The 13,856-nt window shown below is 38.6% G+C and overlaps 1 protein-coding gene and 1 non-coding gene across 5 annotated transcripts in view; one reads left to right on the top strand and one right to left on the bottom strand.

The window, feature by feature from the left end:
• Positions 1-13,856, top strand: part of PDE5A (phosphodiesterase 5A) — a 134,402-nt gene that overhangs the window by 46,029 nt on the left and 74,517 nt on the right. The window lies entirely within an intron of this gene.
• On the bottom strand, positions 12,951-13,077 carry LOC124900187 (small nucleolar RNA SNORA11). The gene has a single exon (XR_007058534.1). It is a non-coding gene; the product is annotated as a small nucleolar RNA SNORA11 (small nucleolar RNA).

Here is a 13,856-nt window from a genome sequence, read left to right as displayed (position 1 = left end):
CCTAGTCACCCAGGAGCTCAGATGGAGATGCACAAGGAAATCAATGTCGTTTTCATGCCTGCTGATACAACATCCATTCTGCAGCCCATTGGATCAAGGACTGATTTCTGCTTTCAAGTCTTATTGTTTAAGAAATTCATTTCGTAAGGCCATAGCTGACATAAATAGAGATTCCTCTGGTGGCTCTGGGAAGAGTAAATTGAAAACCCTCTGGAAAGGACTCAACATTCTACATCCCATTAGGAACATTTGTGATTTATGGGAGGAGGTCAAATTATCAACATGAACAGGAATTTGGAAGAAGTTGATTCCAGCCTTCATGGATGACTTTGAAGGGTTTGAGACATCACTGTTGGAAGTAACTGCAGATCTTGTGGAAATACCAAGAGAATTAGAATTAGAAATATAGCCAGAAGATGTAACTGAATTGCCGCAATCTCATGATAAAACTTGGACAGATGAACTGTTGCTTCTTATAGATGAGCAAAGAAAGTGGTTTCTTGAGATGGACTCTATCCCTGCTGTAAATGCTGTGAATATTGTTGAAAGACAGCAAAGGATTTAGAATATTACATAAACTTAGTTGATAAAGCAGTGGCACGCCTTGAAAAGATTGACTCCAATTTTGAAAGAAGTTCTACTGTGGGTAAAATGCTATCAAACAGCATCACATGCTACAGAGGAATCTATCATGAAAGGAAGAGTCAATCCGTGGTGGCAACTTCATTGTTGTCTTATGCTAAGAAATTTCCACAACAGCCCCGTCCGTCAGCAACCACCACCCTGATCATTCGGCAGCCATCAACATCAAAGTTAAGACCCTTCACCAGCAAAAAGTTTATAGCTAGCTAAAGACTAAGGTGATTGTTACCATTTTTCAGCAATAAAGTATTTTTTAATTATGGTATGTACATTGTTTTTTAGACATAGTGCTATTGCACACTTAAGAAATTACAGTATAGTCTAAAAATAACTTTTATATCCTCTGGGAAACCAAAATATCTGTGTAACTCGCTTTATTGCCATTGTCTGAAACCAAACCCACAATATCTCTGAGGCATGCCTACAAATACTTCATTGTATATTAACTGGCACAGCTATGGAGAAGAGGTCATGTCTTTTTTTGCTGGTGACACCTACAACTAGGAGTTTCGCTAGTGAGACAGATGTCTGCATCTGTGCTTTCATGCATGATTAGCTTCTCAGGCACATCTTCCATTTGGAGGGAAAATATTTTGAGATGAAATTATGTTTTGGCTATGAGAACATAATAAACTATGTTCTCCATATGAAGGACTTAGAATGTAAAGAAATTATGTATGTACATATATATACACGCACACACACATGTTTTTCTTGAATATCTTATGTTAAATTATATGGATATCTAGCTTTCAGTGGCTACATATGTGGTTAGCTAGACCAGTAGAGGCAACAGCAGTGATCCAGACACTTAGTTCAGCTCTAGTAAAGAAGGCATTCTCTCAACCCCTTTGATACCAACTTTAATTTTTAAATTCTATTCAGCCTATTTAGTGTTTTGATGCACAAAACTTGCTTTTTACCATTTTTGCTGTGTTACTTCTTTTATGTTTGTAGTAGGTGCCCATTATGGGCACACCACTCTATACTGTAATTATCAGGAAGCTTTATTGGCAGGACATTTTACAAGGCTATAGAGACATGGACTCATAATAAGTACAGGCAATGATGGAACAAGCTTGATCCTGATTTAACAGACTCCAAATCCAAAAACACCGTCCGGGGTAAGCCTATGCTTTGCAGGCCAACACCTGGCGTCAGGCAGGATACCACCCTTAAAATAAATCTTCATTATTAAATAGATCCAGGGCTCTGAAGTCGTTTTTGGCAATGTATTGTGTAAAGGTGAACATAAACAGTGGTGGAATTATTCTGATATGAAATACAACTTGTATAACCTATGTTGATATACAAAATTTTTTATTGACATTTTGGGCTTACTCTCACTTAAGCAGAGAGGCAGAGTGGGAAAGAAAGAGGTCTGACTTTGTAGCAAAAGTGACTTGGTCTTGTGCTGGCTTAGGAGCAGTGATTCCTTGAGCAAGTTTCTTCTCTCCATGCTTTAGGCGACTGGTTTGTAAAGTTTCAGCATAAAGTGCAAACACACAGGGTGGTTTTGAATTCCTAGTGAGATGAGGAATGTGACAGTGCCTACTGCAGAGCTCTCACCTCTTGGGGGTCAGAAAATGTCCATTTCCTCCTTATGAGAATGTTGCAAAGCCAGACAAATGGAGGAATGGAAAGTTAAACAACAACAGTAAACACTGAATGTACCCTGCCATGGGAAAGACAGCAGGCTGTTTTCTGCTATGTAACCTTTGTGTCTCTGGCAGTTTTTAAAGGGCTTATTTGGAGACTTTGCTCGCAATGGCTATGCGCTGTTCTGTCTCTGGACAGAATCTCTGTATCTCAAGGGACAGAAAGATCTAATAAGCAGGCAAAAAGTCCCTTTAGTTCTAGGTTTAAGAGCTTTACCTCATTACTTAAAAGCTAGTGTGGCAGAGAGTTTAGTATTTGGCAGGAGGGGGATTTTTTTTTTAATTGTTCAAAGGGATGAGGATAAACACTAGGATCAATAATTATGCCAAGCATTCCCTCGTGGGGAAGAACCCCAGTCTCAGGTTGACTCTAGTCCCACAGGATGTTCCTGGGGCAGGACAGCTACTGACCCCCAGAGGCTGGATTTGCCCTGGCCCCGTCTGGGGAGCGACGTCCTCCCTAATAGCACAGAACAAATGATCAGGACTTCAGCCTGCTTCAACATTACCCAGACAGCTGGGAACTTGGCACATGGGCCTCCACTTTCACATACCTTCAGCAATTACATATTCATTTGCTTTTAAAATGTTTTAAAATTCACGTACAGTGAAACTCACAGATCTTTTTTTTTTTTATTATACTTTAAGTTTTAGGGTACATGTGCACAACATGCAGGTTAGTTACATATGTATACATGTGCCATGTTGGTGTGCTGCACCCAGTAACTCATCATTTAACATTAGGTATATCTCCAAATGCTATCCCTCCCCACTCCCCCCACCCCACAACAGGCCCCAGAGTGTGATGTTCCCCTTCCTGTGTCCATGTGTTCTCATTGTTCAATTCCCACCTATGAGTGAGAACATGCAGTGTTTGGTTTTTTTGTCCTTGTGATAGTTTGCTGAGAATGATGGTTTCCAGCTTTATCCATGTCCCTACAAAGGACATGAACTCATCATTTTGTATGGCTGCATAGTATTCCATGGTGTATATGTGCCACATTTTCTTAATCCAGTCTATCATTGTTGGACATTTGGGTTGGTTCCAAGTCTTTGCTTTTGTGAATAGTGCCGCAATAAACATATGTGTGCATGTGTCTTTACAGCAGCATGATTTATAATCCTTTGGGTATATACCCAGTAATGGGATTGCTGGGTCAAATGGTATTTCTAGTTCTAGATTCCTGAGGAATCGCCACACTGACTTCCACAATGATTGAACTAGTTTACAGTCCCACCAACAGTGTAAAAGTGTTCCTATTTCTCCACATCCTCTCCAGCACCTGTTGTTTCCTGACTTTTTAATGATTGCCATTCTAACTGGTGTGAGATGGTATCTCATTGTGTTTTTGATTTGCATTTCTCTGATGGCCAGTGATGATGAGCATTTTTTCATGTGTCTTTTGGCTGCATAAATGTCTTCTTTTGAGAAGTGTCTGTTCATATCCTTCACCCACTTTTTGATGGGGTTGTTTGTTTTTTTCTTGTAAATTTGTTTGAGTTCTTTGTAGATTCTGGATATTAGCCCTTTGTCAGATAAGTAGATTGCAAAAATTGTCTCCCATTTTGTAGGTTGCCTGTTCACTCTGATGGTAGTTTCTTTTGCTGTGCAGAAGCTCTTTAGTTTAATTAGATCCCATTTGTCAATTTTGGCTTTTGTTGTCATTGCTTTTGGTGTTTTAGACATGAAGTCCTTGCCCATGCCTATGTCCTGAATGGTATTGCCTAGGTTTTCTTCTAGGGTTTTTATGGTTTTAGGTCTAACATGTAAGTCTTTAATCTATCTTGAATTAATTTTTGTATAAGGTGTAAGGAAGGGATCCAGTTTCAGCTTTCTACATATGGCTAGCCAGTTTTCCCAGCACCATTTATTAAATAGGGGATCATTTCCCCATTGCTTGTTTTTGTCAGGTTTGTCAAAGATCAGATGGTTGTAGATATGCAGCATTACTTCTGAGGGCTCTGTTCTGTTCCATTGGTCTATATCTCTATTTTGGTACCAGTACCATGCTGTTTTGGTTACTGTAGCCTTGTAGTATAGTTTGAAGTCAGGTAGCGTGATGCCTCCAGCTTTGTTCTTTTGGCTTAGGATTGACTTCGCAATGCAGGCTCTTTTTTGGTTCCATATGAACTCTAAAGTAGTTTTTTCCAATTCTGTGAAGAAAGTCATTGGTAGCTTGATGGGGATGGCATTGAATCTGTAAATTACCTTGGGCAGTATGGCCATTTTCATGATACTGATTCTTCCTACCCATGAGCATGGAATGTTCTTCCATTTGTTTGTGTCCTCTTTTATTTCATTGAGCAGTGGTTTGTAGTTCTCCTTGAAGAGGTCCTTCACATCCCTTGTAAGTTGGATTCCTAGGTATTTTATTCTCTTTGAAGCAATTGTGAATGGGAGTTCACTCATGATTTGGCTCTCTGTTTGTCTGTTATTGGTGTATGAGAATGCTTGTGATTTTTGCCCATCGATTTTGTGTCCTGAGACTTTGCTGAAGTTGCCTATCAGCTTAAGGAGATTTTTGGCTGAGACGATGGGGTTTTCTAGATACATAATCATGCCATCTGCAAACAGGGACAATTTGACTTCCTCTTTTCCTAACTGAATACCCTTTATTTCCTTCTCCTGCCTGATTGCCCTGGCCAGAACTTCCAACACTGTGTTGAATAGGAGTGGTGAGAGAGGGCATCCCTGTCTTGTGCCAGTTTTCAAAGGGAATGCTTTCAGTTTTTGCCCATTCAGTATGATATTGGCTGTGGGTTTGTCATAGATAGCTCTTATTATTTTGAGATACGTCCCATCAATACCTAATTTATTGAGAGTTTTTAGCATGAAGGGTTGTTGAAATTTGTCAAAGGCGTTTTCTGCATCTATTGAGATAATCATATGGTTTTTGTCATTGGTTCTGTTTATATGCTGGATTATGTTTATTGATTTGCATATGTTGAACCAGCCTTGCATCCCAGGGATGAAGCCCACTTGATCATGGTGGATAAGCTTTTTGATGTGCTGCTGGATTTGGTTTGCCAGTATTTTATTGAGGATTTTTGCATCAATGTTCATCAAGGATATTGGTGTAAAATTCTCTTTTTTTGTGGTGTCTCTGCCAGGCTTTGGTATCAGGATGATGCTGGCCTCATAAAATGAGTTAGGGAGGATTCCCTCTTTTTCTGTTGTTTGGAATGGTTTCAGAAGGAATGGTACCAGCTCCTCCTTGTACCTCTGGTAGAATTTGGCTGTGAATCCATCTGGTCCTGGACTTTTTTTGGTTGGTAAGCTATTAATTATTGCTCAATTTCAGAGCCTATTATTGGTCTATTCAGAGATTCAACTTCTTCCTGGTTTAGTCTTGGGAGGGGGTATGTTTCGAGGAATTTATCCATTTCTTCTAGATTTTCTAGTTTATTTGCGTAGAGGTGTTTATAGTAGTCTCTGATGGTAGTTTTATTTCTCTGGGATCAGTGGTGATTTCCCCTTTATCATTTTTTATTGCACCTATTTGATTCTTCTCTCTTTTCTTCTTTATTAGTCTTGCTAGCAGTCTATCAATTTTGTTGATCTTTTCAAAAAACCAGCTCCTGGATTCATTGATTTTTTGACGGGTTTTTTGTGTCTCTGTTTCCTTCAGTTCTGCTCTGATTTTAGTTATTTCTTGCCTTCTGCTAGCTTTTGAATGTGTTTGCTCTTGCTTCTCTTGTTCTTTTAATTGTGGTGTTAGGGTGTCAATTTTAGATCTTTCCTGCTTCCTCTTGTGGGCATTTAGTGCCATAAATTTCCCTCTACACACTGCTTTGAATGTGTCCCAGAGATTCTGGTATGTTGTGTCTTTGTTCTCGTTGGTTTCAAAGAACATCTTTATTTCTGCCTTCATTTCGTTATGTACTCAGTAGTCATTCAGGAGCCGATTGTTCAGTTTCCATGTAGTTGAGCGGTTTTGAGTGAGTTTCTTAATCCTGAGTTCTAGTTTGATTGCACTGTGGTCTGAGAGACAGTTTGTTATAATTTCTGTTCTTTTACATTTGCTGAGGAGAGCTTTACTTCCAACTATGTGGTCAATTTTGGAATAAGTGTGGTGTGGTGCTCTGAAGAGTGTATATTCTGTTGATTTGGGGTGGAGAGTTCTGTAGATGTCTATTAGGTCCACCTGGTGCAGAGCTGAGTTCAAGTCCTGGATATCCTTGTTAACTCTCTGTCTCGTTCATCTGTCTAATGTTGACAGTAGGGTGTTAAAGTCTCCCATTATTAATGTGTGGGAGTCTAAGTCTCTTTGTAGGTCTCTAAGGACTTGCTTTATGAATCTGGGTGCTCCTGTATTGGGTGCATATATATTTAGGATAGTTAGCTCTTCTTGTTGAATTGATCCCTTTACCATTATGTAATGGCCTTCTTTGTCTCTTTTGATCTTTGTTGGTTTAAAATCTGTTTTATCAGAGACTACGATTGCAACCCCTGCCTTTTTTTGTTTTCCATTTGCTTGGTAGATTTTCCTGCGTCCCTTTATTTTGAGCCTATGTATGTCTCTGCACTTGAGATGGGTTTCCTGAATACAGCACACTGATGGGTCTTGACTCTTTATCCAATTTGCCAGTCTGTGTCTTTTAATTGGAGCATTTAGCCCATTTACATTTAAGGCTAATATTGTTATGTGTGAATTTGATACTGTCATTATAATGTTAGCTGGTTATTTTACTCGTTAGTTGATGCAGTTTCTTCCTAGCCTTGATGGTCTTTACAGTTTGGCATGTTTTTGCAGTGGCTGGTACCGGTTGTTCCTTTCCATATTTAGTGCTTCCTTCAGGAGGTCTTGTAGGGCAGGCCTGGTGGTGACAAAATCTCTCAGCATTTGCTTGTCTGTAAAGGATTTTATTTCTCCTTCACTTATGAAGCTTAGTTTGGCTGGATATGAAATTCTGGGTTGAAAATTCTTTTCTTTAAGAATGTTGAATATTGGCCCCCACTCTCTTCAGGCTTGTAGAGTTTCTGCTGAGAGATCAGCTGTTAGTCTGAGGGGCTTCCCTTTGTGGGTAACCCAACCTTTCTCTCTGGCTGTCCTTAACATTTTTTCCTTCATTTTAACTTCGGTGAATCTGACAATTATGTGTCTTGGAGTTGCTCTTCTCGAGGAGTATCTTTGTGGCGTTCTCTGTATTTCCTGAATTTGAATGTTGGCCTGCCTTGCTAGATTGGGGAAGTTCTCCTGTATAATATCCTGCAGAGTGTTTTCCAACTTGGTTCTATTCTCCCTGTCACTTTCAGGTACACCAGTCAGACATAGATTTGGTCTTTTCACATAGTCCCATATTTCTTGGAGGCTTTGTTCGTTTCTTTTTATTCTTTTTTCTCTAAACGTCTCTTCTCACTTCATTTCATTCATTTGATCTTCCATCACTGATACCCTTTCTTCCAGTTGATCGAATCGGCTACTGAGGCTTGTGCATTCATCACGTAGTTCTCGTGCCTTGGTTTTCAGCTCCATCCGGTCCTTTAAGGACTTCTCTGCATTGGTTATTCTAGTTAGCCATTCATCAGATCTTAATGAACAATTTGATGAGTTTTGAAAAATGTACATATATCTGTATAACTAATTCCCTAATCAGTCCTCACCACCCATGGGCAACACTGTTCTGATATCTATAACCACAAATTAGTTTTGCTTTTTCTTGAAGAATCTACTTATTTTTGATACTGCATTATTATTCACTTTTCCTTGATACATAGGATTTTTTTTAATGTTGCATAAGTGGTTCTTGGCTGTGAAAACTTGTTACGAGACTTATAACCTAAGTCCAAGAAACCAGCTTTTAGCAGCCACTTTGGATTGTCTTTGTTTCTTAGAGTTATAATTTTGAAATTGTTCCATTCCCTTTGATGAAAATGTGCATTAAGAAGATAAGCATCCTTATGAGATCTAAAGACTAAGCGTTAGTATGTACTGGATCTTGGTCTCCATGATTCCTTGAGTATAAAAGAGGAGTCCATAAGAGCCTATATTTTGGCCAGGCGCGGTGGCCCACACCTGTAATCCCAGCACTTTGGGAGGCCGAGGCGGGCAGATCGCAAGGTCAGGAGTTTGAGACTAGCCTAACCAACATGGTGAAACCCGTCTCTACTAAAAATACAAAAATTAGCCGGGGCGTGGTGGCGGGCACATGTAATCCCAGCTACTCAGGAGGCTGAGGCAGGAGAATTGCTTGAACCCGGGAGCCAGAGGTTGCAGTGAGCCGAGAGCGCATCATTACACTCCAGCCTGGGCGACAGAGTGAGACTCTGTCTCAAAAAAAAAAAAAAAAAAAAAGCCTATATTTTGTACTAGGGCTGATTTCACTTTTTCCTGTGGGGAGTAGTAGAAAGAATTGTAGCTCTTGGGATCAAGTCTGGAGAGTGTCTGGGTCTGCATATTCTTGAACTAGTTATGTAAGTTTTCTGAACATCAGATTGCTCTGTGATAAAATGGGAATGAAAATTAAAGAATTATGTCAAGGATTAAATGAATGAACAGTTACAAAGTGCCTGTTACATGGCAAGCCCACCCTTCTCCTTTTTTTAATGGCAAGCTTTTTAGCATTTGAATTTTTCTGGTTTTAGCGAGGAGGAGATTTCTTAACTGTATTAGAAACAATGGCATTGATCATGTTATTTCTGATGCCAGTTATCTTCAGGGCACTGCTTTCTTATATCTTGCAATTCCTTAGAAGCTTCTCTCCAACCTACTTGGCTGCCCATTCGTAGCCACGAAGGCTGTGAGAGTAAACTAAAAGCATCATTCTCCTCTGTTTATCCTTGTCTCATCCCCCAACCATGGAATATCTGTAAACATTCTCTTGAGATAAATCATAGGTATAAAGGTGCCTGTATATACAGAAGGATAAAATCAATCTTACCAGTCACTTAAAGAAATATCTAACTTTGATTCTAAAATTCATTAAGAAGAGCCCACCCCAAAACCATAACTAAAATGGTCAAAATTGGCTAATGTACACATAGGCAATACAGAAGAGGATACCAGCTTAGCCAATAACAATAAAAAAGATGTTCATTCTCTCCAGTAATCAGGAAAATACAAATTAAAGCAACAATGAGATGCAATTTTATGCCCATCAGATTGACAAACATTGAAAAAGTCTGATAACACCAGATGCTGATAAGGATGTGAGGTTAATGGAGACTCTTAGGCCTTGCTAGTAAAGGTATAAATTTCTGTAATCTTTTTGAAGATTTAGCCAGAGAAGTTGCTGCACATGTGCACAAGAAGAAAATCAAAGATGTTTCTTAAAGATTGTAGTAGCAAAAAGTTGCAAACAACCCAAACATCCATTCTTTGGAGATCAAATGAATACAGTTTGATATGGAATGCAATATTGTATATAAAATGAATGAACCAGATTTATATGAATTGATCTTAAAAAACAACATTGAATATAATTGCAAGTTGCAAAATGATTCCTATATATTATTTCATTTAAGAAACCTTTTTGAAAGATAAAAGTACTATGTTTTGTGTATAGATTTATGTATTTTTAACAGTATAATGAAGAAGGTTGACTATGGTAGGAGGAACAGGGGGGAGAAGAAAGACTGGAAAGAGGAAGTCCAATTTAATTTTATCTTAATTTAATAGTATTAATAAAGGAAACATCACCAAATATTAACATTTAGTAATTCTGTATCAGTAGTTGTCAATGCGTCTTTTGTGCCTGGACCAGCAGCATTTGTAATCATCTGAGAACTTTTAGAAATACAGGCCCCAGTCTAGATCTACAAAATCTGAAATTTGGGGGGTAGACCCACGAAACTGTGTTTTAACAAGTCTCACACTAACACTGTTTTAGATGGCAAAGGCATGGATGTTTACTGTCTCATTCTTTGTGATTTTCTATACTTTTTAAATTAAAAATTAAATAATCTCAAGCTTTTCTTTCTTCTCTCTTCCAGTGTCGCCTTAGGCTATAAGTTTCAACTCCATAATTAATGGCTTATTAAGAAAATAAAGTTTTTACTGCCACACAAAGTTCTCAGATATGGATGGATTTCTTAATATTAAGCAAAGGCTAGAGCCAAAAATGGGAAGACATAATTAATTATTATTTGAATATGCATTGTTCAGTTAGTACATTACCCTAAAAAATTTTATTCTTTCTGGCATTTTTCCCATTATCATCAACAACACATACTATTCAACTTTTGAGTACATGTAAAATAATGCAAAGTGTTGATAATAGCATAAAATATAAATCAAGTACTTAGAAAGCAATCTAATTGCAGGGCTAGGATGTGAGTAAAGAAAATTAGGTTAAAAAGGAATACCCTGCCTCGTATAGGGCGTATACAACTGCCACATGGAGTTTCAGAGGGGTAGGTCTGAAGGGAAGATTTTTTGGAGATTTGGCCTCAGTAGAGAGGTGATATTTCAAGGAATTATGTGAACACAGGACATTGCGGTATTCTAACCCAAAGACCCATGTAAGTGATATAGTTAAGTTGAGAGTGTGGAATGTTAGGTAGAGTCTTTAATTTTTATTCTGTAGATGGGTGAAACCATTAAAATTCTTGAGAAATGAGATGATCTGTGTATGCACAACAGTGCCCCAAGAATATAAATTTGGCTAAATTGTCAAAGATGGACTGAAGGCAGGAAGATGATTAGGAATGAGATGTCAAGTTCTTCAAAGACAGTGAGGATTTACATAGTGAAACAGAAGAGATAAAATGAGGTGAGGAGAAGAAGAAAAATAATGCAAGAATATAAGAATCACAATTGAATGGAATGTATTGGTTTCTTAATGCTGCTGTAAAAAAACTACCAGAAATTTAGTGACTTAAAATAGCACACATGTATTATTTGAAGCTTTGGACTTCAGAGTCTAAAATAATTCCCAGTGGGCTAAAATCAGGGCATCTACAGGGCTGTGTTTCTGTGTGGAGTCTCTAGAAACAGACCTGTTCTCTTGGCCCTTCTAGCCTCCATAGGCTGCCTGTACCCCTTTGCTCATGGCCCCTTCCTCTGTCTTCAAAATCTGCAGAACAGCATCATCAAATGTTTCCTTGACTCTGCCTCTCCTGCATTCCACTTTTCCTTACAAGGACCTTGTGATTACATTGGGCCCACCTAGATAATTCAGGATAATCTCCCCATCTCCAGATCTTTAACTTTATCACATGTCAAAAACCCCGTTTGTCATTTAAGGGTCACATATTCGTAGGTTCCAGAGATTAGGACAAGGACATCTTTGGGGGCCATTATTTGCCTACCACATGGAATATTACCATAACTTGATGATTCCTTAGGATTCAGAAGAGAAGTCAGAAAGCCTGGATCGGTTATGTCAACTCTCTCACTCTCAGTTTTCTCATCTGTAAAGCAGGTGGGGAGAGGATGTGGGGGTGGGATTCCCAAGCCTAACACTGATTAGAATGTCAGCTCTCTGAGGACAGGGATTTTCATCTGTTTTGTTCACTACTGGTACATAAAGGCACTTAGTAGTTAGCTGTTGAATAAAGTATTTATGGCAGAATGAATAAATGAGTCAAAGAAAAGTTTGAAAAGAGCACTAGGGAAAATTCTCCCCTAACTCCTCTATATATTGTTAAGTTCTAGTTTTCTTAGTAAAGTTTGTATTTGGCTCAGATTAGACTGTCTAGAGTCCTGTCATTGCAGTGGAGATCTTCTGAGGCTGAGAGAGAGGGATAGCTATGATTTGTAGTCTGTCCTTTCCTCCTTTGCTTTTAGTTTCCATGCTGAGCATCCCCTGAACCGGGGATGGGGAAATGTATTGGGATTGATGTATGACCTCAGTAAATGTCTGGGGCAGCTGCTTATTGAAGAAGAAATTGCTCACTGTGGCAATGATCAGTTGCCCTGAAACAACCAGCTGTCACATTCCATACTGCTCGCCCAGTGAGAGTCAAGTCTTGGCCTTTGCATTCCTAAAAGAACACTCGACCCTGTGAGGACATAACATCCATTTGTGCTGTGCATAGTGCCAGTAAAATAGAAAACAGAAAGGCTTTTTTGCGCTTTTACAGAAATAGCGTGGAGTGCCCATATCTGAGAGTACAGTTAGCCAGCAGGTAGGCAAAAGTGAATGGACATTCTGATATGGAAGCTAATGCTTTTAGGGGTGCTGCCTCTCACATGGAGTCTGAGATATACTTAGAGTAAAAGCTGTCATTAAAAATGGACATTTCAAAGCCTATAGTTAACAGTTACTTGATTTAAAGACAATGATCTAATTTGTTTAAAGAAGCAATGGATGACAGCAGAAAGAAGGACTGAATTTATTTGAACATGAGGGCAGAGGATGCCAGTTTTGCTCAGGATCCTTAAAGTCAGAATTAAACTGTTAATTTGTCTTTTATTGTGTATGCAACCCTGGATGAACACTATGCCTTTTCTTCTATTTTTTGTCTGTTTTTATCAGTGTCATTTTTCAAATGTCATCCTTCTGGGGATGGAGGCACATATACATGTTAGATATACAGTTGTCTCTTAGTATACAAAGAGGGATTGATTTGAGGACTCCACTCCATCCCCTCATACCAAAGTCTGTGGATGCCCAAGTCCCTTATATAAAATGGCATAATATTTGCATAAAACCTATGCACATCCTCTCATACACTGTAAATCACCTCTGGATTACTTTTTTTGTTACACTTGTAGGACATTTGTTCTTAGGGAGTCACAAGTTTTGTGCCCCTTGTCACAGTGACCTCAGATGCCTGTTCCATGTGTTATAAACAGAGGAGCCATTCTTCAGCCCCCTGCTCTGAGCACACCCCTAGATTACTTATACTACCTAATATAATGTGAGTGCTCTGTACGTAATTGTCCTACTATATTTATTTTATGTTATTTTTATTGCTGTGGGTTTAAAATTTTTTTGTCAAACATTTTCTATCACAGTTGGATACAAAGGACCAACTATATTTTCCTGGTCTAATAGTCTCTTGACAGAACTTGTTTTTTTTTTAATATTTCTTTATTTATTGGTACAAATTTACAGGGTATATGTGAAACTTTGTTACATGTATATAATGCATAGTGATCAAATGAGGGTATTTCTGGTGTCTATTACCCCTAATACAATACATTTTTGTTAAGTATAGTCACCCTCCTATACTATAAAACATTTAATTTATTTCTTCTATCTTACTGTATGTTTGTAATCCCAGCACTTTGGGAGGCCAGAGCAGGAGGATTGCTTGAGTGCAGGGCATAGTGAGACCAGCCTGGGCATAGTGAGACCTCATCTCTACAAAAAAATTTTTAAAATTTAACCAGGCATGGTAGTACATGCCTTCCAAGTAGTCCCAGCTGCTTGGAAGCTGAGGTTGGAGAATAGCCTCAGCCTCGAAGATCAAGCCTGCAGTGAGCTGTGATTGTGCCACTGTACTCCAGCCTGGGCAACAGAGCAAGACCCTGTCTCAAAAAGAAAAAAAAAAAAAAGACTGAAAGGAATCATCATCTCACTGTAAATTTATGTTGATATGATGATGGACTAAAATGTTAATATAGTTTGATTAGTGATCATTTAATAAGCAGCTGATTTTTTGTCTTC

The sequence above is a fragment of the Homo sapiens genome, chromosome 4 (genome assembly GCF_000001405.40).
Source record: "Homo sapiens chromosome 4, GRCh38.p14 Primary Assembly".
Lineage (NCBI taxonomy): Eukaryota > Metazoa > Chordata > Mammalia > Primates > Hominidae > Homo > Homo sapiens.
The sequence above is the reverse complement of the archived record's forward strand: the minus strand, read 5'-3'. Positions and strand labels throughout refer to the sequence as shown.